Source organism: Homo sapiens, chromosome 10, assembly GCF_000001405.40.
Source record: "Homo sapiens chromosome 10, GRCh38.p14 Primary Assembly".
NCBI lineage: Eukaryota > Metazoa > Chordata > Mammalia > Primates > Hominidae > Homo > Homo sapiens.
In genome coordinates, this window is record NC_000010.11 from 73,756,066 (window position 1) to 73,780,402 (window position 24,337).

At 47.6% G+C, this 24,337-nt stretch overlaps 2 protein-coding genes across 14 annotated transcripts in view, besides 6 other annotated features; both read left to right on the forward strand.

Moving 5' to 3' along the window:
- Positions 1 to 16,096, forward strand: part of SEC24C (SEC24 homolog C, COPII component) — a 27,790-nt gene extending 11,694 nt beyond the window's left edge. For 5 of the 9 annotated variants that reach the window (XM_047426032.1, XM_047426031.1, XM_011540381.4 and 2 more), the window contains 21 exons: positions 3,557 to 3,729; positions 3,953 to 4,321; positions 4,648 to 4,784; positions 6,033 to 6,101; positions 7,425 to 7,536; positions 7,791 to 7,918; positions 9,386 to 9,524; positions 9,735 to 9,850; positions 10,021 to 10,145; positions 10,285 to 10,476; positions 10,695 to 10,788; positions 10,989 to 11,105; positions 11,772 to 11,942; positions 12,745 to 12,841; positions 12,942 to 13,087; positions 13,282 to 13,420; positions 13,550 to 13,668; positions 13,771 to 13,950; positions 14,215 to 14,406; positions 14,644 to 14,733; positions 14,890 to 16,096. In XM_047426032.1, coding sequence (XP_047281988.1) covers positions 3,557 to 3,729; positions 3,953 to 4,321; positions 4,648 to 4,784; positions 6,033 to 6,101; positions 7,425 to 7,536; positions 7,791 to 7,918; positions 9,386 to 9,524; positions 9,735 to 9,850; positions 10,021 to 10,145; positions 10,285 to 10,476; positions 10,695 to 10,788; positions 10,989 to 11,105; positions 11,772 to 11,942; positions 12,745 to 12,841; positions 12,942 to 13,087; positions 13,282 to 13,420; positions 13,550 to 13,668; positions 13,771 to 13,950; positions 14,215 to 14,406; positions 14,644 to 14,733; positions 14,890 to 15,030 — 3,046 coding nt within the window. In that variant the 3' untranslated portion in view covers positions 15,031 to 16,096. The remainder of the gene's footprint in view (positions 1 to 3,556; positions 3,730 to 3,952; positions 4,322 to 4,647; positions 4,785 to 6,032; positions 6,102 to 7,424; positions 7,537 to 7,790; positions 7,919 to 9,385; positions 9,525 to 9,734; positions 9,851 to 10,020; positions 10,146 to 10,284; positions 10,477 to 10,694; positions 10,789 to 10,988; positions 11,106 to 11,771; positions 11,943 to 12,744; positions 12,842 to 12,941; positions 13,088 to 13,281; positions 13,421 to 13,549; positions 13,669 to 13,770; positions 13,951 to 14,214; positions 14,407 to 14,643; positions 14,734 to 14,889) is intronic. The other 4 variants (XM_047426033.1, XM_047426034.1, NM_004922.4 and 1 more) reach the window with 1 other exon arrangement.
- Positions 3,710 to 3,809: an enhancer, noted in NCBI's record as "active region_3570". NCBI's record gives its function as "activates an Ori minimal core promoter by ATAC-STARR-seq in GM12878 lymphoblastoid cells {active_cell/tissue: GM12878}" and the evidence as "EXISTENCE:reporter gene assay evidence [ECO:0000049][PMID:35858748]".
- Positions 15,933 to 16,112: an enhancer, noted in NCBI's record as "active region_3571". NCBI's record gives its function as "activates an Ori minimal core promoter by ATAC-STARR-seq in GM12878 lymphoblastoid cells {active_cell/tissue: GM12878}" and the evidence as "EXISTENCE:reporter gene assay evidence [ECO:0000049][PMID:35858748]".
- POFUT4 (protein O-fucosyltransferase 4) lies at positions 16,211 to 24,189 on the forward strand. 5 transcript variants are annotated; one of them, XM_006717656.5, is made up of 3 exons: positions 16,211 to 16,976; positions 17,125 to 17,750; positions 22,763 to 24,189. In XM_006717656.5, exons 1-3 carry the CDS (start codon positions 16,269 to 16,271, stop codon positions 22,857 to 22,859), a joined length of 1,431 nt encoding a protein of 476 aa, XP_006717719.1. In that variant the 5' UTR covers positions 16,211 to 16,268; the 3' UTR covers positions 22,860 to 24,189. The 5 variants fall into 5 exon arrangements, with proteins under 5 accessions (XP_006717719.1, NP_001271123.1, NP_775811.2 ...); NM_001284194.2 differs by lacking the exon at positions 22,763 to 24,189 and adding an exon at positions 19,354 to 20,154; NM_173540.3 differs by lacking the exon at positions 22,763 to 24,189 and adding an exon at positions 19,476 to 20,154.
- Positions 16,443 to 16,492: a silencer, noted in NCBI's record as "silent region_2487". NCBI's record gives its function as "represses an Ori minimal core promoter by ATAC-STARR-seq in GM12878 lymphoblastoid cells {active_cell/tissue: GM12878}" and the evidence as "EXISTENCE:reporter gene assay evidence [ECO:0000049][PMID:35858748]".
- Positions 16,703 to 16,812: an enhancer, noted in NCBI's record as "active region_3572". NCBI's record gives its function as "activates an Ori minimal core promoter by ATAC-STARR-seq in GM12878 lymphoblastoid cells {active_cell/tissue: GM12878}" and the evidence as "EXISTENCE:reporter gene assay evidence [ECO:0000049][PMID:35858748]".
- Positions 17,098 to 17,628: an enhancer, noted in NCBI's record as "H3K4me1 hESC enhancer chr10:75532921-75533451 (GRCh37/hg19 assembly coordinates)". NCBI's record gives its function as "activates a minimal SCP1, AML or CMV promoter by ChIP-STARR-seq in primed H9 embryonic stem cells {active_cell/tissue: H9 hESC(primed)}" and the evidence as "EXISTENCE:reporter gene assay evidence [ECO:0000049][PMID:30033119]".
- Positions 17,473 to 17,522: an enhancer, noted in NCBI's record as "active region_3573". NCBI's record gives its function as "activates an Ori minimal core promoter by ATAC-STARR-seq in GM12878 lymphoblastoid cells {active_cell/tissue: GM12878}" and the evidence as "EXISTENCE:reporter gene assay evidence [ECO:0000049][PMID:35858748]".
- Positions 24,190 to 24,337: the final 148 nt, after the last annotated feature.

Consider the following 24,337-nt stretch of genomic DNA (forward strand, 5'->3'; position numbering starts at 1 on the left):
GGTCTCAAACTCCTCGCCTCAGGTGAACCGCCCACCTTGGCCTCCCAAAGTGGTGGGATTACAGGCATGGGCCACTGTGCCTGGCCATCAAGTGAGGACTGAAAATCAGAGTGGTAAATTGACTCTGGAGCTGCCTGTAGATTGGGTGGATTCATCATCTTGAGAAGCCAGGGCCTTAAATTTAAGCAGGTACTGGGGAAGGCAGATGAGTCCTTGGGCTTTCCTGAGAGTAGTTTTGGAACTGAGACATTGTTTATAAAGTCTGGACCTGGGCTGCACCTTCATTGAACAAGCTGACTAGGGGAAAAAAGTCTGCACGCTGGAAAGGGGAGATAAGGAGTGCTGTTTCTCTCAGGCTGGCTGTGGATGGGTGAAAAAAAAAGTTCTTGGGACTGCAAATGGACATGACATCTTTTTGGAATGATGAAAATGTTTTAAAATTTGATTCTGGTGATGGTTGCATAACTAAATTTACTAAAAATCATTGAATTGTTCACTTGAAGTGAATTTAATGGTATGGAAATTACATCTCAGTAATATTTTTTTTTTTTTGAGACAGAGTTTTGGTCTTATTGCCCAGGTTGGAGTGCAATAGCACGATCTCAGCTCACTGCAGCCTCTGCCTCCTGGGTTCAAGTGATTCTCCTGCCTCAGCCTCCCAAGTAGCTGGGATTCCAGGCATGACCACCATGCCAGGCTAATTTTTTGTATTTTTAGTAGAGACAGGGTTTCACCATGTTGGCCAGGCTGGTCTTGAACTGACCTCAAGTGATTCACCTGTGTTGGCCTCCCAAAGTTCTGGGATTACAGGTGTGAGTCACTGTTCCTGGCCAATTTTTTTTTTTTTTTTTTTTTTTTTTTTTGAGATGAAGTCTCGCTCTGTCACCCAGGCTGGAGTGAAGTGGTGTGACCTTGGCTCACTGCAACCTCCACCTCCCAGGTTCAAGTGAATCTCCTGTCTGAACCTCTTGAGTAGCTGGGATTACAGGTGTGCACTACCACGCCTGGGCTAATTTTTGTATTTTTTTAGTAGAGATGGAGTTTCACCATGTTGGTCAGGCTGGTCTTGAACTCCTGACCTCAAATGATCCATCTGTCTCGGCCTCCCAAAGTACTGGGATTACAGGCATGAGCCACTGCACCTGGCCTAATTTTTTTTTTTTTTAAATTAGAGGCCAGGTGCAGTGGCTCATGCCTGTAGTAATCTCAACACCTTGGGAGGCTGAGACAGGAGGATCACTTGAGGCCAGAAGTTTTAGACCAGCCTGGGCAACATAGGGAGATCCTGTCGCTATAAAAAAAAAAAAATAGCTGAGCATTGTTGGTGTGCCTGGGAAGCAGAGGTGGAGGCAGGAGGATTGCTAGAGCCCTGGAGGTTGAGGCTACAGTGAGCCATGATGGCTTCGCTGCACTGTGGCCTGGGTGCCAGAGTGAGACCCTGTCTCAAAAACTAAAAAAAAAAAAAAATCAATCTAGGGTGACACTGTCATTATTGGAGTACCTTCTGGAAACAAATGTAGAACAACCACACCTCAGTCCGGGCTGGAAGGGATTATCGGAGAAAGGCACTTTGATTAGAGTTGGGCCAGGCACAGTGCTCATGTTTGTAATCCCAGCACTTTGTGAAGCCGGGGTAGGAGTTCAAGACTATCCTGGGCAGCATAGCAAGACCCTGTCTCTACAAAAAATAAAAAAAATTAGCTAGGTGTGGTGGTGTGTGCCTGTGGTCTCAGATACTTGGGAGGGGAGGCTTAGGGGGAGGATTGCTTGAGCCCAGGAGGTCAAGGCTGCAGTGAGCCACAGATAGTGAGTGCCATTGTACTCCAGCCTGGGTGACAGAGCGAGACCCTGTCTCAAAAAAAAAAAAAAAAAAAAAAAAAAAACGTAAGGCTGGGCACGGTGGCTCACGCCTGTAATCCCAGCACTTTGGGAGGTTGAGGCGGGCGAATCACGAGGTCAGGAGTTCCGAGACCAGCCCGGCCAACATAGTGAAACCCCGTCTCTACTAAAAATACAAAAATTAGCCAGGCATGATGGTGGGCACCTGTAGTCCCAGCTACTCGGGAGGCTAAGGCAGGAGAATTGCTTGAACCCAGGAGGTGGAGGTTGTGATGGGCCAAGATCGCACCACTGCACTCCAGCCTGGGCGACAGAGTGAGACTCTGTCTCAAAAGAAAAGAAAAGAAAAAAAAAAGTAGAGACAGAGTATAGACCTATTCTTTTGTAATGTTTAGCTAAAAGGGGAGCAAAAGTTTGAGGGGGCTGTGAGGTAATTTGGTTGGATTTTTAAAAAGTTTTTTGAGATATAATTCATATACTGTGCAATTCGTCTGTTTAAAGTGTTTTTGTATATTTAGTGGTTTTTAATATATTGACAGATATGTGCTGTCACAATTTAGTATATTGACAGATATCACTACAGTCAGTTTTAGAACATTTTCATCATCTGAAGAAGAAATACTGCATTCTTTAACTACCCCTGTTTAGCTATTCCCCCATTCCCCTATTCTTCCAACCTTAAGCAACTCCTGATCTACTTTCTGTCTCTAAAGATTTCCCTATTCTGGACTTTTCATTAGAATAGAATCATATACTATGTGATATTTTATAACTGACTTCTTTAATTTAGCATAATATTTTCAAAGTTCAACTATGTTGTAGTGTATATTAGTACTCCATTCCTTTTTGTGGTTAAGTGGTTTTTCATTGTGTAGCTACATGCCACATTTTGTTTATCCATTCTTCTGCTGATAGACATTTGGGATGTTTCCACTATAGTTGGTTTTTGTGTGTGTGTGTGTGTGTGTGAGATGTTTGTATGTTTTTGTGCTGATGGGAATAATCAGAGAGGGAGACACTGAATGGAAAGTATATTGGAAAGACACTGTGGTAGACTGAGGCGGGCAGATTCGTTGAGCTCAGGAGTTTGAGACCAGCCTAGGCAACATGGCGAGACTCCGTATCTATAAAAAATGCGAAAACTAGCCACGCATGGTGGCGTGTGACTTTCGTTTCAGCTACTTGAGAGGCTGAGGTGGGAAGATCAGCTGAGCCTGGAAAGTTGAGGCTGCAATGAGCTGTGATCACACCACTGCACTTCAGCCTGGGTGGCAGAGTGAGACCCTGTCTCAAAAAAAAAAAAAAGCTGGACAATCAATCTGCATTTGTTTGATTTCATATTTATTAAGGTTCATGCATGCTTATGCGTGCCTTCCCTTTCAGTGCTTTCAGGGCTTCAGATTACAAAACTGAAGAGGTTTGTCAAAGAATTGAAGCAGAGGAAGCAGTAATTTAGTTAGCAGAGTAAATAGTACTTGACCTGAAGGTGCTTGGTTTATGTTTGTGGAGTGAGCTTAATGGAAAACAAGATTTGCCATGAATAATCAGGAATATAATTTACCCACAAATATACAAAAGTATGAAGCCATAAAAGAACTCAGGGTGTGAGAGTAAGATGTCACAAAACAATGTAGCTTCCTGTATGATGTGACACTTCTGTAGACTTCAAAGGGTGTCCTGGCCCCACTAGTCACCTCTGCTTGCTTTCTTTTCACAGGCTGCCTGGGTCTCAGCCATTTGGGTCCCCATTGGCCCCTGTGGGCAACCAGCCACCTGTGCTTCAGCCCTATGGCCCTCCCCCGACAAGTGCACAGGTGGCTACGCAGCTGTCTGGAATGCAGATCAGCGGTGCTGTGGCCCCAGCCCCTCCTTCTTCAGGGCTGGGCTTTGGTGAGTGGCTGTGAACACAGGAATGTTACTGTCCCCTGTTCAGAGGCATCAGACTCTGGGGTTATACCTGAATCTCTTTTATTTCCCTTGTATTTCCTGTGCCTCTGAGCCTCAGAAGATGGGACAGTCATATTTGCCCCTCTTGTGTGGAAAGGGAAGTGATATACCGAACAAGGAGGCAGAATGACTGGGCTTTTGACTCTACCTTTATTCTACTTCTCAGGCCCACCAACATCGCTGGCTTCAGCCTCAGGAAGTTTCCCTAACTCTGGTCTGTATGGCTCCTATCCTCAGGGCCAGGCTCCTCCCCTTAGCCAGGCCCAAGGTCATCCTGGGATCCAGACTCCCCAGCGATCTGCCCCATCACAGGCCTCCAGCTTCACACCCCCAGCTTCAGGGGGTCCTCGGCTGCCTTCGATGACTGGTCCACTCCTGCCTGGACAGAGTTTTGGAGGGCCCTCAGTGAGCCAGCCCAACCATGTGTCTTCACCTCCTCAAGCTCTGCCCCCTGGCACCCAGATGACTGGGCCCCTGGGACCACTGCCACCTATGCACTCCCCGCAGCAGCCAGGCTATCAGCCCCAACAAAATGGTGAGTCTTTCCCAAGGTCTGTCTTAGAAGCTAGAGGCTTCAGCTACTCAGGTGGTTTTTGATGTTTTTTATTTGTTTGTTTTTAGTATTACTTGCTAAGTGGTGAATTAGATGGGTAGCTTCAGGGTATTATTCCTAGGATATGGGGTTTGTAAGACATTATTTTTTCTTGTCGTTCTGATAACATGGTATTTTTCTGAATGTCTTTGCCAGGCATTAGTGTGCCTCATAATTCTATGTTTTTAGGAGTCTAGTCATTTTCCTGAGGCCTTAAGAAGAGATAGGGATGGGATTTTGAGTTCATCAACCTTGTGTCCTTGTCTCAGGTTCCTTCGGACCAGCCCGGGGCCCTCAGTCTAATTATGGAGGCCCCTACCCAGCAGCACCCACCTTTGGCAGTCAGCCTGGGCCTCCTCAGCCACTGCCTCCTAAGCGCCTGGACCCTGATGCCATCCCAAGCCCTGTAAGTAGAAACTTTCATGGTCCTGAGGAAGGGTTTGTGTCTGCCAGATAGGCAGGTCAATCTAGATGAAATGTTTGCCTAGCATTTTCTGATAATTTTCCCTTTTTGTTCATCTTCTTGGAGAACTTACATATAATTTGATTCTGAACTGGAACTTGAGGTTCTAGGAGTCTTTTGGGGGGCTGTTTTACTCTATAGCTGGGCAGAGAAGGAAGGGAAACCAAGAGTGAGCAGCAGCACCAGTAGATGTCTGAGGGCTGCACTCTGTCACTACTGTACATACATAGTATAGTAGCCTTTGTCCTTCTGTGGAGCAGTGACTGGGTCTTGTCCCCTTAGATCTAGAAGGATGGCATTCTTCCTAATGGGTAGAGCAGGTGGGAATTCTCTGATGTTAGATGTTAAGAGAAGGAAAGCCTCACTGGTTTCTCTGCTCTTACTTGGACAGTTTTAGGAGGAAGTCCCCAGTACTTTTGTTTGGTAGGCTTCTGCTGTGTGGATGGGGAAGAGTGAACGACAGTTTATGAGGGCAGTGTGTATGTAAAGTCCCACTGGAGAGCTGCTTTTTTCAGGAAGAGGGTGAATTGCACCCTTGGAGCCATCAGAATCCTCAGGCCCTCCTTATCAGACTCAGAATAGAGACTAGGACTGTACTGCCAAGTAGGGGCCACTTTATAGTTCCACCTGTAACATTTGCTATGTCAGTTACCTTGCCATGCTTAGCCATTGTCATATTCCATTCTGTTCTCGTCCCTCTTCCTCCTTTGGGTAACCAACACAGTGAGGGAGCCTGTTGGCCAAGGAGAACTCAAGAGGATTAAGCAGCCTCTCCTTCCTTCCCCCTCCTTCAGTGAGAAGGAGAGTCTGGTTGGACATGAAGGGAGGCTTCTTTCAGCATAAGATAGTCCTTAGAATGGGAGGTTTGGCCTTTTAGGGGGAACACTCCTCTTCTTCTTCCTTAAGGTTTCTTCCATTCAGCCTCAGCCCCTCCCTGTGTAACTCCTGCTTGCCTCCTGTTTGCCCCTTTCCTTATCTTTCTACATCATAGTCTGAGCCATTAAAGCCTCTGTGTTGGGCCAGAAAGACTTGGAATTTCATATCTAGAGGGGGCTTGATTTCAGCAATATGAGCTGGGCTCCAGCTGTTCATGTCTAACTCAACAGGGTTGAGAGAAGTAACATCTGCCTCTTGTTCTTTTGTCTCCCTCCTTGTATTCCCCTGCTGCATTTATTATTAAAACACTAAAAGCAACTCAGTGAGCTGCCTCCTCAGCAGAAAACCAGGCACAGAATAGACCCCGATGCCATTCCTAGTCCAGTAAGTGCAGGGGGTGGGTGTTTGTGCATGTCATTCCTGTGTTAGTGCCATCCATGCATGCCTGTGACCTCATCTTCACCTCATCTACCATGTCCATTCCTCCCCATTCTCTTCCTTTAGCCTAGCCCTTCTAGATACTCACTTATACAAGATAAAAGGATATGCATGCCTCAAGTCACCAGGTAATGAAGAGGTAGCAAGCTGTTTGCCTTGAGTATGGGGTGGTGGAAGGTCAGGCTCTAAGGGTGGGGTCAGGTGGCATGTCAAGCTTTGGCTTTAGTTCTGCTGGCACCTCCAGGAGCCTGCAGGTGATGTATGATGGAAGAGGACAAAGTTGAACGGTAGATCATTCCACTTTGGATTTGATTTGTCTGTAGCCTGTTGTGGAGAAATATTGGAGTAGGAATGTACAGATTCATAGTATCCCAAACTGGCATTTCTTACAGGAGAAGGGACTGCTGGTTTGGGAAAGTGTGGGTGCTTTCTCATCTGAAGAGTCTTTTTGACTCTGATATATTTCTAAGCTTCAACCTTTCTGCTATGGGATAGAGTCTTATTTGCCCTTTGCTTTTTCTGGTTTTCCAAACCCATCTTGAAGTAACTGACCAAAGGTCATTAGCCTGCATAAAGGTCTGAATACCAGCTTTGCAGGTCCTTTATTTTCCTTTGCTGAGTCTGTCAAAATGTGGAGGACTGAGGATTGAGCTATAAGGATTGGGTACTTCTCCTCTCCTCCTATATATACACATTGATGCTTACCTGAAAGTAAGGCAGCATCTGCTTCCTCACCTTACTTGATCATTTCTGGCTGTTTAAATCTCTCCTCACCCTGTCCCTTGTAATTTCATTGAGTGTAGAGTCATTCCAGGTAGATTCATTTTTACGTGGTTACTGTTGTCTGTTTTCCTGCTCTGACTCAGAATGTGTCTTGGGGAGAGGATCGGGGAAGGCATGATGGGGGAGGGGAATGGAATCTAATCATGTTTGAAGGTTTGTGATCAGAGCTGGGGCTTTTCCTGGAATGGGAGGAATGAGAGGGTGTTCACCATTGATGGGGGGTAGGGGGCAATTCATAAAGAAGCCCATTCTCATGTTGCCTGCCCAGCAGGCTGCTGGGAGTGAAAGATTGGCTGCTGTAGAGTGTAAGATTGGCATTACAGCATTTTATATGATCTCCAGAAGGAGAACAGGCCTGGTGTATGAGGTGTTCCTTGGCAAATTTTTAGTTTTTGTGTTACAGCTCTAGCCTTTTTCACTCTTGGCACTCTGGGACCTCACACTTCCTTTTTCTTCTGTCACCTCATTCATTGCACTTCTCTGCAGATTCAGGTCATTGAAGATGACAGGAACAACCGGGGTACAGAGCCATTTGTTACTGGAGTACGGGGCCAGGTGCCACCCTTAGTCACTACCAACTTCCTGGTGAAAGACCAAGGTGAGAATGGAATTAGCTCCTCCCACAGGGGCTTTTTCTTCAAGATTATCAGCTTATGGTTGGGGCTTTTTTTTTTTTTTTTTTTTTTTTTTTTTTTTAGTTTTTAACCAGAGACAAGTTCCCTCTAGTCCCTCTGGGGGAAAAAGCCACCATCACCTCTAGCTTTGTGGAGTTGATGGTGTGGATCACCAATGGAGAGCTGGTGTCTGGAAGGATTCTGTGATCTGACTCGGGTCTTCTGCCTCCTTCTTCAGGGAATGCAAGTCCCCGATACATCCGATGTACATCCTATAATATCCCTTGCACATCTGACATGGCTAAGCAGGCTCAGGTGCCCCTGGCAGCAGTCATCAAACCGCTGGCAAGGCTGCCCCCAGAGGAGGTGAGTCAGGGAAGGGGCTAGAGTGTAATGAAAGGGAGGGAGGTAGAGAGGGGTCTAAAGCGTCTTCCTGGATGTGATTCCAGCTTCACAATGGAAGATATTTTAGTTAGGCAGGAGAGGAGACTGTCTTTAGTGGCTTTCTATCCCAGGGCCCATGCCTGGAGAGGGGATGGTAGGGATGAGAGCAAAAGCCCAAGACATTGCTGAGAAGGAACAGAGTCTCTAGAGGAAACAAGCAGGATGAAAAGAGGTAGGGCCAGGCCAGGCGCAGTGGCTCACGCCTGTAATCCCAGCACTTTGGGAGGCTGAGGCGGGTGGATCACGAGGACAGGAGATCAAGACCATCCTGGCTAACACGGTGAAACCCCGTCTCTATGAAAAATACAAAAAATTAGCCGGGCGTGGTGGCGGGCGCCTGTAGTCCCAGCTACTTGGGAGACTGAGGCAGGAGAATGGCGTGAACCCGGGAGGCAGAGCTTGCAGTGAGGCGAGATTGCACCACTGCACTCCAGCCTGGGCAACAGAGCGAGACTCTGTCTCAAAAAAAAAAAAAAAAACAAGAGGTAGGGCCAAATTGTAGGGGAGAAGACAGCTGAATGTAGGAACCTCTCGTATCATGGTCATCTCCAGATGATGAGAAGGACATCATTCCATGTTTTCCTGACTGTCCTGTCATCCCAGGTTAGTGCTGTTAGAACAGCATATAAGAGAAAAGGTAGATTAGGATCCAGTGATCCTTCTGTCACCTGTTTTGGGACCTGATCTGTCACCCCAGTACCTGATACCAGCATGAAGAGAGCGAGCCAGGCAGCTGCTCCACCAGGCCTTGGTAGGATACTCATATTCAGCCTTGCTTATCTTACGATAGGGTTCTCTGTTACTAGAAGCCAAAGGCTCAGTTTATATTCTGCTTATCTCTCCGTCTTTCTCTGTGTGTTTGTCTATTTCTATCTGGGTCCCATTGGGGATAGTTGGGCACTGGTCTCTTATGTGTAGGGTGACATTTGCCTGGGGCATCAGTAACTGGCACAGAATCCCAGGGATACGGGAGGAGGTGTTACAGATATTTGGTTAGGGAAGGAGCTGGAATCAAGATTCTTAGAGCAAGAGTGAAGGGCATTAGAGATGGGGCCAGAAAGGAGAATCCTAGATAATCTTGGCTTTCTCCCTCATATGCCCATGGCAGCCCCTAGTCTGATATGGCCGGTTTTGCATTTCCTCTTCTCTTTCAGTGAGAAATGCAGCTCTGGGGGTGGGATGTAGGAAGAGGGAACTATATAATTTTTACTCATAGGGACATTTTCCTGTGATTTGTCTTTACTCCCTTTCATCATTGTGCTCCCTACTCCCTCTGCAGACAGAATATCTGCGCCATGCGCCTTCTTCCTCCGGTTGTTCTTCCTCATCTCCTGGCTGAACCTACTGTGGTTTTCCTTTATGTCTGATCCCTTCCCCTTTGCGCCTTAGGCTTCACCGTATGTTGTGGACCATGGGGAATCTGGCCCTTTGCGCTGCAACCGCTGCAAAGCATACATGTGTCCCTTCATGCAGTTCATTGAAGGAGGGAGGCGTTTCCAGTGCTGTTTTTGCAGCTGTATCAATGATGGTATGTTCATGGAAGCTGGGATTTGGGGGAAGGTCTTGATTGTATCTTCCTTGTTCTCTATTAAATAGTTAGAGAGATGAGGGTCCATCTTTCAGGAGCTGGGGAAGTAGGGCACATGGGAATGAGGGATAGTGGTGTGAGCTCAGCTAGGGCCAGAATACTAAGATTGAAACTGGATCTTCGAGTAACACACTGCCATGCTTCCCACAGTTCCCCCCCAGTATTTTCAGCACCTGGATCATACCGGCAAACGTGTGGATGCTTATGACCGCCCTGAGCTATCCCTGGGCTCTTATGAATTCTTGGCCACTGTAGATTACTGCAAGGTGAGGGAAGGTAGCATGGGAGGAGCAGTGAGTGGAGGATAATGAGACAGCTGAGAATGGCTGTTATCATTTCCCTCACCCCTTTTTTGTCCCTTTTTGATGCTGACTTCTCTATAGTCAACTGGCCTGCTTACCATTCCCCCTCTCCCCAACATTTTCTTCCTCTGCAGAACAATAAGTTCCCCAGCCCTCCTGCCTTTATCTTCATGATTGACGTCTCCTACAATGCCATCAGGACTGGTCTTGTTAGGCTCCTCTGTGAGGAGCTCAAGTCACTGTTAGACTTTCTACCTAGGTGAGAGTTACAGAACTGAGGTGTTTCCTGAGGTTAATGATAGGGTGTCTGGGTTGACTGAAGAAATGTAGCTTGGTGTCATGAAGTTGTGGGTGGTGGAAAAGGTGGCAAGTCTAGGTAACAATGTCACCTTCTACAGGGAGGGTGGGGCAGAAGAGTCAGCAATCCGCGTTGGCTTTGTCACCTACAATAAGGTGCTCCACTTCTATAATGTGAAGAGCTCATTGGCCCAGCCACAGATGATGGTTGTGTCTGATGTGGCTGACATGTTTGTGCCACTGCTGGATGGCTTCCTGGTCAACGTCAATGAGTCTCGGGCAGTTATCACCAGGTAAGAGCCAGATTGTGGAGGTAAAGGTTGGGGGTGGCATGGGTACCACCATAGAAGGTCATGGAGTTGAACAGAGGTATTGGACAGTAGATGGAAAGGGGTTGTGGCCCAGGAGTTGTCAGATTCTAGAGGCTTGATGACTCTTCAGGGAATCGAGAACTGAGGTATCTGGAATCTGTATAGCAATTTTGGTTGTTTTCCGTCACCTATCTCTTTAGCTTATTGGATCAGATTCCAGAAATGTTTGCAGACACAAGGGAAACAGAGACAGTATTTGTACCAGTTATCCAGGCTGGAATGGAGGCTCTGAAGGTAAGGCTGGAGTATCGGGCAACCTCCTCTAACTCCATTTTCCTCTGACCATCTTATCCCCTGGGATACAACCTCTCTTTCTTCAGTAGTGGGTGACTGTCCAGTGTGTTAGACTGTCTGACATAGCTGGTGCTTAATAAATGACAAGGGAAGAGATGGATGAATAAAGAATAAACAAGTAGTCCTCTCTTTTTTCCTAGGCTGCTGAGTGTGCAGGGAAGCTCTTTCTATTCCATACATCCCTGCCCATTGCAGAGGCCCCAGGGAAACTGAAGAACAGAGATGACAGGAAGCTGATCAATACAGACAAGGAGAAGGTGTGGGACTGGAAAATGGGGGAGGGGAAGGATTTTTCATTACAGAGGAAGTGGGGACTCTACTTTCTTGATGGTGGCTAGGACCAGACACTCCACCCTTTCAAATACCATATCTGTGACTGCCAACCTCCACTGCTGCCATACTTCTCTACTCCATCTGATGCCAAAGCTGTTGGTAGACTCTTGTATTTATTTATTTTTTAAAGAAGAACTTTTGGCCGGGCATGATGGCTCATGCCTGTAATCCGAGCGCTTTGGGAGGCCAAGGCGGGCAGATTTTTGAGGCCAGAAGTTTGAGACCAGCCTGACTAACATGGCAAAACCCCGTCTCTACTAAAAATACAAAAATTAGCCAGGTGTGGTGGCACACACCTGTAATCCCAGCTACTTGGGAGTCTGAGGCAGGAGAATCGCTTGAACCTGGGAGGCAGAGGTTGCAGTGAGCTGAGATCATGCCACTCTATGCCAGCCTGGGTGACAGAGTGAGACCCTGTCTCAAAAAAATAAAAATAATATAAAAGAAAATTTTTTACTATTGGAAAATCCTTGGAAGTAGATCTGAAGTCTTCCATGAATTTGAATATCCCATGCTAGATATACAGTTTTCAAATAGGGCGGAGCTGAGATATTTGAACATTTTCTTCTCCCCATTTTCTTTCCCCCTAGACTCTGTTCCAGCCTCAGACAGGTGCCTATCAGACCCTGGCCAAAGAGTGTGTGGCCCAAGGCTGCTGTGTAGATCTCTTTCTCTTCCCTAACCAGTATGTGGATGTGGCCACACTCTCTGTTGTGCCCCAGCTCACTGGTGGCTCTGTCTACAAATATGCTTCCTTTCAGGTATGGTGTGGGATTTGGGGCAGCAGGTGGCAGCAGGGCTGGGAATATCTGCTTATATATGCAGTGGCTGACTCATTAATAGAAATAGTGTTGGGGCCAGGCACGGTGCCTCACACCTGTAATCCTAGCACTTTGGGAGGCTGAGGCAGGCAGATCACCTGAGGTCAGGAGTTCAAGACCAGCCTGGCCAACATGGCAAAACCCCATCTCTACGAAAAATACAAAAATTAGTCGGGTGTGGTGGCGGGCGCCTGTAATCCCAGCTACTCAGGAAGCTAAGAATCCCTTGAACCCGGGAGGTGGAGGTTGTGGTGAGCCGAGATTGCGCCACTGCACTCCAGCCAGAGCGACAGAGTAAGACTCCGTCTCCAAAAAAGAAGAAATAGTGTTGGAAGAGAAGACTGCATAGTCTGAAGAAGTGAGCCCGAGAATGTGGCAGTTAGGAACATGGGCCTTGGAATCAGTCCTGCATTGATATTCTGGCCCCACCACTTACTAGCTACATGACCTAGGATAAATTTCTTAAGTACTTCCTCTTTTGTTCCTTCATCTGCAAAATGGTGTTAAAATACTTAAGTAGGATTTGTCAACAGAATTAAATAATTATATGTAAAGCACTCTGTGTGGTACCTGGCATGCAGTCTAAGTGTTTAAAAGCTATTATTGTCATCATCATTATCATCCTCACTGTTATGATGATGATAATTAGGTGGCCTTGTAGAGTGGAAGGGGTACAGGGAGATTGTCTGCACGATGAGCTATGTCTAGTCAGTGACATGACTCTGGACCTGGGGGCCTGCAGGTGGAGAACGACCAGGAGCGGTTCCTGAGTGACCTGCGTCGTGATGTCCAGAAGGTTGTTGGCTTTGATGCTGTGATGCGGGTCCGGACAAGCACTGGTCAGTCCTGATTGAAGAGCAGGTTGGGGGGCTAAATATGGAAGGGAGGCATGTGGCACTTGTCATACTTTTTGCCCTGACCCTGTCCATGTGGCCTCAGGTATCCGTGCTGTAGATTTCTTTGGAGCTTTCTACATGAGCAACACGACAGATGTGGAGCTGGCTGGGCTAGATGGGGACAAAACAGTGACTGTGGAGTTCAAGCATGACGATCGGCTCAATGAAGAGAGCGGAGCTCTCCTGCAGGTGGCAGGCGGGAGGCGGGGCTGGGCAGGAAGTGTTTCATTCGCTTGGTATAGAAGAGGGTGAGGAATGGGTAGAGAGCACTAAAAGAAGAGACAGGGCACGGGAGTGGCTCATTTCTCTCTTCCAGTTTAATAGTGTAGCAAAGGGCCTTTGTGAGGGAGGGGTGTGAGTTCCCCCTTTCTCCTTTCCCCTAGTGTGCCCTGCTTTACACCAGCTGTGCAGGGCAGCGTCGGCTCCGCATCCATAATCTGGCCCTGAACTGCTGCACCCAGCTGGCTGATCTATATCGAAACTGTGAGACTGACACGCTCATCAACTACATGGCCAAGTTTGGTGAGGGTAGAAGCAGGGCAGGGTGGGATTGGGGCTGAGAGGTCCAGGATGGTGAGTGGGTAGTTGTGATGGTGGGAATGCACACATGATGGGCAGCTGACCAGTGACTATCTTTGCTTTCCCATCCAGCATATCGGGGAGTCCTGAATAGCCCTGTGAAGGCTGTTCGTGACACGCTCATCACCCAGTGTGCCCAGATCCTGGCCTGTTACAGAAAGAACTGTGCTAGCCCCTCCTCTGCAGGACAGGTGGGGCAAGTATATTAGTGGGAGGTGGGGTTGTTGGGACAAATGTTTGCATTTGGGAGGGATTTCTCATGATCATTGACTTTATTTTGATAATCCCCTCAGTTGATCCTTCCTGAGTGCATGAAGCTACTCCCAGTTTACCTGAACTGTGTGTTGAAGAGTGATGTCCTGCAGCCTGGAGCTGAAGTCACTACTGATGACCGTGCCTATGTCCGACAGCTAGTTACCTCCATGGATGTGACTGAGACCAATGTCTTCTTCTACCCTCGGCTCTTACCTTTGGTGCGATTGAGGGTTGGAGTATGAGATCTTGCACGGAGCAAAGGGCCTCTTAGGAGGAGGAAAGGATAGGCTAGTATCAGTCAGACACTAGTGGAATTTGTTTTTATGTATTTTAGCTGATGTAATTTTCACACTGAGAGAGTTACTGAGACCCCAGAAGGGGTGGTGTCTGAGGACTTAGCTTTCAAAATTTTGTGTGTGGTGCGGGGGGGCAGACTTGTCTTATGGTCCTTGGTAACCTTTTGCTCCCTTCCTTTTGTCTAGACAAAGTCTCCCGTTGAGAGTACTACCGAACCACCAGCAGTTCGAGCCTCTGAAGAGCGTCTAAGCAATGGGGATATATATTTACTGGAGAATGGGCTCAACCTCTTCCTCTGGGTGGGAGCAAGCGTCCAACAGGGTGTTGTCCAGAGCCTTTTCAGCGTCTCCTCCTTCAGTCAGATCACCAGTGGTTTGGTGAGGGCAGGGAGTCAAGGAGAATATGGGTGTGGAAGTATACTTTGTGAAACAATTGGGAGCCAATATAGTTAGTGTGCTAGTACCCTCAAATATCAGGGAACACTTGGGGACAAGGGCAGTTGCTGTCATTCTTCCCAGGTTTGCCTGTTTCAGATGATGCATACATGTATGCTGCCCCACCTTGACTGAACTCAGAGTGCCTTACCATAAGGATAAATGAATTTTGTGTTCTAGAGTGTTCTGCCAGTTCTGGATAATCCACTGTCCAAGAAGGTTCGAGGCCTCATTGATAGCTTACGGGCACAGAGATCCCGGTACATGAAGGTAACACTGATCTGAACCCTGGATTTCTTACCTTGTCAAGTCCTCACCTAGAAGTGGGGGTTGGGTGGGGAATGAGTAAGTGACTGCCTAATGAGATTTCTGGGCATGTTTAATTTCCTTTGGCCTTGCCTTATGAACCCTGAATTCTGGCCGTAGCTTACCGTGGTGAAACAGGAAGACAAGATGGAGATGCTGTTCAAGCACTTCCTGGTGGAAGACAAGAGTCTGAGTGGGGGAGCATCTTATGTGGACTTTCTCTGTCATATGCACAAGGAGATTCGGCAGCTACTGAGCTAAAGCAAGTGGGTAAATGGCATAGGGCCCAGGCTAGCTTCCAGAAAGCACCCCAGGATGTCAGAGAAATTGGGACAGTAACATATCTTATGTAAGCTGACCTCAGTCTCTCTGGGGGGAGGGGGAGATATAAGGAGACACCTTCTTTCTGGGCTCAAGTATCCTGCCACTCTGTCATGTCCTGCTGATGGAAGGTGCCCCTGTTCCCTCATTCTACCCTCTTTTTCCTGCTAATCCTGTCATAATGAATGTAGCTTCTCAGTTCACTGTATATGATTCGGTATTGGGGGTTTGGAGGCACCCAGACCCTGGCAATATTATGTGTCCCTTTGGACCAGTCTCCCAAGAGGAGAGGGGCAGGCAGGAAAGAGTGGGGATCCTAAGGTTACTACAGGGGGCTCAGTGTCATCCACAACTTCCTATATTAGGGATAAAACATATAGGTGCACAAGAGCTGGGGTATAGCCCATAGGTGGTGGAGAGAAAAGTGGTCAGTCCTTCTTGGGCCTGGAGGTTAGCAGTCAAGTTTCTCTGCTTTCACTGCTCGCTCGCTCTCTCCTGCAATGATTGATGATCACTCCGTGGATAGAGAGGCACACTGTCAGAGGTGACCGGAGAACTGAGTTGCAAAATATATTAAGATCTGGTAGAGGTACCAGCTTCCTTTCCAGCTGGAGAGGCCCCAACACTGGATGGTTCTGTAGGGAGCCTAGGGAGCCTGGTCATCAACTTGCAATACCTCACAGAGCCAGTTCACATCCCACTCTGAGCTCCCACGAGAAACACTGCTTCTCCAGGCCCGGGGTTGTTGGGGAGAGAGGCAGAGGCAGCTGGAGCGCCGTTCTCTCCTGCTGGGACACCGCTTGGGCTTTGGTATTGACTGAGTGGCTGACAGTTATCTTCCAACCCCAACTGGCTTGGGGGCAGGACAAGGGCTAGGCTTGATGGTGGCCAGGCTTGCCTGCTCCCCACCTGGGATGCCCCTGCTCTGGACCTCTCATTTCTCTTCATTGGTTTATTTTTCAATGCATCTTTAATTTGTAAAGAAATAAAATAAATTAAGATGTAACCATTAGCCTCATCTTTACTCCCGAAAGCTCACTTTGCTTTTAGTCCTGGCCGTCGGCTGAGCGAGCTGCGCATGCGCCACGTGCCCCCGTGGCGTAGGGCCTCGTCCGGTCACGACTATCCGCTGGGCGGGGTCGGTGCTGGCCGAGGGGGCGCCGGCTGCCGGAGTGGACATGGCGGCCGGCCCCATTAGGGTGGTGTTGGTCCTTCTAGGGGTGCTCAGTGTCTGTGCAGCCAGCGGCCATGGGTCCGTAGCGGAGAGGGAGGCCGGCGGGGAGGCGGAGTGGGCGGAACCGTGGGATGGCGCGGTTTTCCGGCCGCCCTCGGCGCTGGGCGCAGTGGGGGTGACGCGCAGCTCTGGGACGCCGCGGCCAGGGAGGGAGGAGGCGGGGGACTTGCCGGTACTGCTGTGGTGGAGCCCAGGGCTATTCCCCCACTTCCCGGGAGACTCGGAGCGCATCGAGTGTGCGCGCGGCGCGTGCGTGGCGTCCCGGAACCGCCGAGCGCTGAGGGACTCGCGGACGCGCGCGCTGCTCTTCTACGGCACAGACTTCCGCGCGTCGGCCGCCCCGCTGCCGCGCCTGGCGCACCAGAGCTGGGCGCTCCTCCACGAGGAGTCGCCCCTCAACAACTTCTTGCTGAGCCACGGCCCGGGCATCCGCCTCTTCAATCTTACCTCCACCTTCAGTCGCCACTCGGATTACCCGCTGTCGCTGCAGTGGCTGCCCGGGACCGCCTATCTGCGCCGCCCGGTGCCTCCGCCCATGGAACGCGCGGAGTGGCGCCGCCGCGGCTACGCGCCGCTGCTCTATCTGCAGTCACACTGCGACGTGCCAGCGGACCGGGACCGCTACGTGCGCGAGCTCATGCGCCACATCCCGGTGAGTGAGGGCGGGCCGGAGGGAAGGAAAAGGAGAGGGCGGGTTGAGGCCAGGACTCCAGGTGTCCAGGACTCCAGGTGTCCAGGACTCCAGGTGTCCAGGCCTCCAGGGCCGCACCCTCATGACAGCCTTACTGTACCCGGTCTAGGTAGACTCCTACGGGAAATGCCTGCAGAATCGGGAGCTGCCTACCGCGCGGCTACAGGACACAGCCACGGCCACCACCGAGGATCCAGAGCTCTTGGCTTTCTTGTCCCGCTATAAGTTCCACTTGGCCCTGGAAAATGCCATCTGTAACGACTACATGACAGAAAAACTGTGGCGTCCCATGCACCTGGGCGCTGTGCCCGTGTACCGCGGTTCTCCCTCTGTGAGGGACTGGATGCCGAACAATCACTCCGTCATCCTGATTGATGATTTTGAGTCTCCTCAGAAGCTGGCAGAGTTTATTGACTTTCTGGACAAGAATGATGAGGAGTATATGAAATACCTGGCATACAAGCAACCTGGGGGCATCACCAACCAATTTCTTCTGGATAGTCTGAAGCATCGGGAGTGGGGAGTGAATGATCCTTTGCTGCCTAACTACCTCAACGGCTTCGAGTGTTTCGTCTGTGACTACGAACTGGCTCGGCTGGATGCCGAGAAAGCCCACGCGGCCTCTCCCGGGGACAGCCCCGTCTTTGAGCCCCACATTGCCCAGCCCTCACACATGGACTGCCCAGTGCCCACACCTGGCTTTGGCAATGTGGAAGAGATTCCTGAGAATGACAGGTAAGAGTGCTGGGGTCCCCTGCAGCTATCAAATCATTTACTTACTTGCTTACTGTGGGCAATTAAGTAGCACTAGGTGCTGAGCAGGTGCAGGAGGAAATTATCACATGGGCTCATTCTGTATTTAAGGTGTCAACAGTCTAGTTGGGGGGATAAGACAAGCTGAAAAAGCTGAATAGATGTAAAATATAATTCAAGGCAACGTATGAAAATCAGCTTATGTGAACAATGTTTCCAGTAGTGGTTCAAAAAGATTGAACCAGAGTACAGGGCCTGTGCAGACAGGGGAGAGAGAAAATGGGGCAAATAAATAGGGACAAGGCTATAAATATCATTAATACCAGGTTCAGGAGTTTGCACTGCACTAAAAATCAACTCAGCTATTTGAGCACCTTTTATAGAGTGGAAATGGGGTTGGGCAGTAGAGAAGAGCACTTTTAGAGAGGCTTTTCTGCAGTAGTCAGGGGTTACACCTGTTAACCAGCCATAATTTTTTTTTTTAAGCGGCTGTGCTGAGGATGAGCCCCATGTAGTTGGTGCAGGTGGGGACACACTGCCTGTGTAACTAGAAAAACTAGGCATGGCCGGGCACGGTGGCTCACACCTGTAATCCCAGCACTTTGGGAGGTCAAGGGGGGAGGAACACTTGAGGCCAGAGACAATATAATATATAATATAATATATTGACCAGCCTGGACAATATAATAAGAGCCTCTCTGTACAATTTAAAAACTAAAAGCCTGGGGTGGTGGCACATACCTGTAGTCCTGGCTACTTGGGAGGCTGTGGCAGGTGGATTGCTTGAACCTAGGAGTTCAATGCTGTAGTGAGCTAGGATCGTGCCACTGCATTCCAGCCTGGGTTGGAGTAAGACCCTGTCACACACACACACACACACAAAACAATGCACAATGCGCATCAGAAGGGAAGCGAATAGGCTACTGTAGTAGGTGGCAAAAGGTGGTGGTACTGGGAAACAAGGCCAGCGTGTGGTGTGGGGTGGGAAAATGTTGAAACCACTTGTAGCAAGCCACACCTATTGGGGGAGAGGTGATAAGATTATTAAGCTGAAGTAAGGCTGCTAGAATGGCCTATAGAAACCGACTTGGACAGTGGATGGCAGCAGAAGGCCATTTATTAACAGATGCTGCTGGCAGTTTTGTCCTGATGGTTGGAATCCTTCACCAAGTAATTTGTATCTAATTACAAATTGTTTGTATCTGAACATAATATGATTTACTAGAGGAAAAGTATGAAAAAATATGAAACATTAAGAAAATAAATATTCAGGTTATGTCTTTTCTAGATACTGGATGCTACTTCATTTTGATGCACCTTCATTTTGATTATTGGCATAAAGGTGAAACTTAAAAGATAATCATCTAAAGACCCCTGCCCCCTTGCTTTCCTTATGGAGACTGCCACTTCCAGTCTGGCCTCTGCTTTGCCTGCCTCTGAACCCCCTCCACATTTGGGAGCCAGAAGCAGGCAAGTCAGGAATCGTAATTGATTGGGTAGTCTGTGTGATGTCTTTGTGTTTGTGACTTACTGCCTGTCGCTTGGGCTTATATTGGATTTACTTCACTTTGTCTTCCTTTCACAGCAGTCTTGTCCAAGTTAGAGACCACTGTATCTGCTTAAGATTTCTTTGGCCCCACTCGGAAAAAGGCAGGACTCATAACTATGCTGCAGTTCCATAATCCAACCCCCATTTTGATATTTCAGTTGGAAAGAGATGTGGCTGCAAGATTATTGGCAAGGTCTGGACCAGGGGGAAGCTCTCACTGCCATGATCCACAACAATGAAACAGAGCAGACGAAATTTTGGGATTACCTACATGAAATCTTCATGAAGAGGCAACATCTCTAAGTGCCCTTGCAAGAGCCTTTAACTTGGCGGAGCTAAGGAGATCTTATTCTACCATGGGACATAAGGAGCATCCACTGCACAAACCCTTAATGAACACTGTCTTTTCATGGATTCAAGGAATTCCAGTTTTATCTATTAAGATTTTATCTTAATGATGAGTAGCCAAGGTCTAACATAGGGCCTCTCCTCAAGGAGAGATGGAGGGATACAATTCTTGGTTCAGTGGGAAACAGAACCCTAAAACATCCATTTGATTCAAGGTGCTGGTCCAACAGAGTTTTTAAACTACTCACTTCTTTATTTCATCCTTTCGACTGTACTTGATTACCAGTGAAGTAAGATGGGTCAGGTTACGACTTACAACTTTTGTTCTATTCCCCAGACTCCTCATTATTCAGTACATTTCCCAATAATCTCTTTTTCTCATCTCTTGCTTTATAAATTGTTACGTTGGTGGAGAAGCAAAACATTTGGTGAGTTGTATTCTGGTTTTCCGGAGTTGGATTTTTTTATATTATATACTTTCATGTCAAACTTCTATTTTACTTATTTATTTATTTTTTTAAAATATTTTTTGTAGAGATGAGGTTTTGCCACATTGCCCAGGTTGGTCTCCAACTCCTGGATCAAGCAATCCATCCGCCTTGACCTCCCAGAGTGCTGGGTTTACAGGCATCAGCCACCTCACCCAGCCCTAATTTTTTTTTTTTTTTTGGCTTTTTCTGGCCAGGCGTAGTGGCTTATGCCTGTAATCCCAACACTTTGGGAGGCCGAGGAGAGGCGACTGCTTGAAGCCAGGAGTTTGAGACCATCCTAGCAAGACCTTGTCTCTAAAAAATAAAAGAATTAGCAGGGCATGGTGGTGCACACCTGTAGCCCTAGATACTTGGGAGGTTGAGGCAGGAGGATCACTTGAGTCCAGGAATTTAAGGCTGCAATGAGCTATGATCATGATCACTGCACTCCAGCCTGGGTGACAGAGCGAGACACCGTCTCAAATTATATATATATATTAAGATGGAGTCTTGCTTTGTCACCAGCTGGAGTGCAGTGGCATGATCTCGGGTCACTGCAACCTCCACCTCCCTGGTTCAAGCGATTCTCCTGCCTCAGCCTCCTGAGTAGCTGGGACTACAGGCATGCACCACCACGCCCAGCTAATTTTTTGTATTTCTAGTAGAGACAGGGTTTCGCCATGTTGGCAAGGATAGTCTCGATTTCTTGACTTCGTGATCCGCCCGCCTTGGCCTCCCAAAGTGCTGGGATTACAGGTGTCAGCCACCGCACCCGGCCTCAAATACATTTTTTTAATGGCCTTGTCTTTCCTGGTTTTAGGCCCTTTTCCACAATTTCTGATGGAAATACAGAAACCTTGCCATCATTCTTACTGCTGGTTTGCATCTCATTTATGGTGTATCTGGGATTTCTTCTCATGAACAGAAAGATTCAGTGGCTGTTATATGCCTTGTCAATTTAATGTATTGCCCTATCCTCTTTTTGATCAAAGATAGAGACTAAGACTGGGAATTATGACAGAAAAAGTCATATTTTTCTTTAAATGATTTTGAAATGTTAAAATAGGCCAATATGAGTCAAAGTGCAAATTTTTTGGTGAGTAGGTTGACAAAAAAAAAAAAAAATCCAGGAAAAAAAGTGCAAATTTTTATAGGTCCTAATTCTTTTGTTTGCCTAATGAAGTGTTCCCTCTATTTTATTGTTTTTATATGCTACAAAGTCCCATCTTCTGCAGTTATGGAAACAGTGTGGCTGTATGTTTTAGTAATTATTTCATAATCTGTAGCACTTTTCACTTTAAGTGCAATGAATAGTCCAGCTTCATTCACTGTATTACTAATACGCTTCCCTATGACTTTTTTTTTTTTTTTGAGATGGAGTTTCGCTCTTGTTGCCCAGGCTGGAGTGCAGTGGCGCGATCTCAGCTTACTAGAATCTCTGCATTCCCAGTTCAAGTGATTCTCCTGCCTCAGCCTCCCTAGTAGTGGGGATTACAGGCGCCCGTCACCACATCTAGCTAATTTTTGTATTTTTAGTAGAGATGGGGTTTCACCATGTTGGCCAGTCTGGTGTCGAACTCCTGAGCTCAGGTGATTCACTTGCCTTGGCCTCCCAAAGTCCTGGGATTACAGGCGTGAGCCACCGTGCCCAGGTGCCCCCACCTTTTTTTTTTTTTTGAGGCAGAGTCTCACTCCATCACCAAGGCTAGAGTGCAGTGGCGTGATTTTGGCTCACTGCAGCCTCTGCCTCCCAGGTTCAAGCAATTCTCGTGTCTCAGCCTCCAGAGTGGTGGGATTACAGGCACGCACTACCATGCCTGGCTAATTTTTTTGTATTTGTTTTAGTAGAAACAGGGTTTTGCCATGTTGGCCAGGCTGGTCTCGGACTCCTGACCTCAAGTGACCCACCCGCCTCGGCCTCCCAAAGTGCTGGGATTACAGGAGTGAGCCCCGTGCCCAGCCTGAGACTACTTTTTGATGGAGCCCACTCAAGGGGATGAGGAGGTTTAAGCCACAAGTGGCTGGCTAAATAAAAGCTTAGTCAGAGCTGGGCACGGTGGCTCACACCTGTAATCCCAGCTACTTGGGAGGCTGAGGCAGGAGAATTGCTTGAACCTGGGAGGCAGAGGTTGCAGTGAGCTGAGATCGCACCATTGCACTCCAGCCTGGGTGACGAGCGAAACTCCATCCCAAAAAAAAAAAAAAAAAAAAAGCTTAGTCAGATTTGGGGATGCAGCCAAACCCTTCTGTTGCTGTGGTTTGAACATACAGTCTAATGAGCAGGGAGACCATTAGCTCTTTCTGGGGCAGTGGGACAGGAAAGAATACCTTGGACCTTAGGGCTACTCTAGTTGTAATGTATTAGTGAGTTATCACTAGAGAAGTTCCACAGTTTAATATTATCTATACCTATATCTATATATCTACCTATATAGATAGATATATGTTAGATGCTTCAACAACTAGGGTCTACACTTAATATACTGACATCTAAGGATGCGGCCAAGAAAAGCTGTAATTAGGCTGAATTTTATTGCCAAAGTTGTTCTTTTTTCATTTAGTCCTTTAATAAAAGATGATCTTCATAAATTACAGAAAGTTTGCTTACCCTGTTTGACCTTTTGCAGAAAAGAACAAGAGGGAAGACAGACCTTCAGGCTGGGTGCAGTGGCTCATGCCTGTGATCCCAGCACTTTGGGAGGCCAAGGTAGGAGGATCGCTTGAGCCCAGGGATTCAAGACCAGCTTGGGTAACATGGTAAAACCCCATCTCTACAAAAAACAGAAAAAATTAGCTGGGCATGGTGTGTGTGCCTTGTAGATCCAGCTACTTGGGAGGCTGAAGTGGGAGGATCGCCACTGCACTCCAGAAACTAAAAAAAAAAAAAAAAAAAACCTTCAAAAATATATCTAAGCCAGATGTGATGGCATGGGTCTGCAGTCCCAGCTACTCAGAAGGCTAAGGCAGGAAGATCGCTTGAGCCCAAGAGTTTGAGGCTGTAGTATGCTGTGAGTGCGCCTATGAGTGCCAACTGGGCAACACAGTGAGACCTCTGTCTAAAAAAAAAAAAAAAATCTGTTGGGCTGGGTGAGCTGGCTCACGCCTGTAATCCCAGCACTCTGGGAGGCCAAGGCAGGCAGACCACCTGAAGTCGGGAGTTCAAGACCAGCCTGACCAACATGGAGAAACCTCATCTCTACTAAAAATACAAAATTAGCTGGGCGTGGTGGCGCATGACTATAATCCCAGCTACTCAGGAGGCTGAGGCAGAAGAATCGCTTGAACCCAGGAGGCGGAGGTGGTGGTGAACCAAGATCACGCCATTGCACTCCAGCCTGGACAACAAGAGCAAAACTCCATTTCAAAAAAAAAAAAAAAATCTGTTAAAATTTGATATAGTAGGCACTGACAAAAGAGGTCAAATGCAGGACTGATTTCTAAGCTTGCAATCTATCTAAATGCAGATGCTAATTTAGAGTGCATAATTATTACACAAGTACAGACCTAGGTTAGGGCTTAAATTTCATTATGTGCAATAAAAAGGTTAAGTGATGGTTAAGCAAGGTGTAGATTATCCTTACCTCTCCTAATGACATGGGCTCACATTGGCATTCCTTTCATACTTTTACGTATAAAGTGGGCAGTTGTTTCTGAATGACTGTTGCTGGAGCCTCAGGCCTGCTTTGTGCTTGGTGCTTTCCAGACTTTCTCCTTTATTCCTATCACCATATACGTACTCACAAAAGAGCAGTGTAAACCAGGTATTACATTTCCACAAGGGAAAGTAGAACCAGGAATAGCCACATGATACTTACCGAAAGCTTCACTTTCCCTATAGAGAAAGCAAGCAACATGAATCTTCTGATTTGGGGCCCAGCCTGCTGCTGTATACAGAGGTTGGCATTATTGGTGATAGAAATGTCTGATAGGAGTCTTTTAATTATACTCTGGAGTGTGGAGGTGGAGTGCAAGGCTGCTTCCTTTATTACTGCAAGTGTTATTTTCTATTATCTCAGGTTTCGTTTTGTGTAATAAACTGCTTCTTGTTAAACAATGTCTTCTGCTTCATTATTTTTTTGGGGGTGGGTGTAATAAAGTTGGAGATTTGTAAAAAAGTTTCAGGTTGGGTGTGGTGGCTCATGCCTGTAATCCCTGCACTTTGGGAGGCCAAGGAGGGAAGCTCACGTGAGCCCAGGAGTTCA

Excerpts from the sequence above, each read along its gene's own strand:
- POFUT4 (NM_173540.3), top strand. The coding sequence starts at position 16,269 with ATGGCGGCCGGCCCCATTAGGGTGGTGTTGGTCCTTCTAGGGGTGCTC. Across the intron at positions 16,977-17,124 it reads AGCTCATGCGCCACATCCCG|GTAGACTCCTACGGGAAATG; the intron begins GTGAGTGAGGGC and ends TACCCGGTCTAG. Across the intron at positions 17,751-19,475 it reads GAGATTCCTGAGAATGACAG|TTGGAAAGAGATGTGGCTGC; the intron begins GTAAGAGTGCTG and ends TTGATATTTCAG.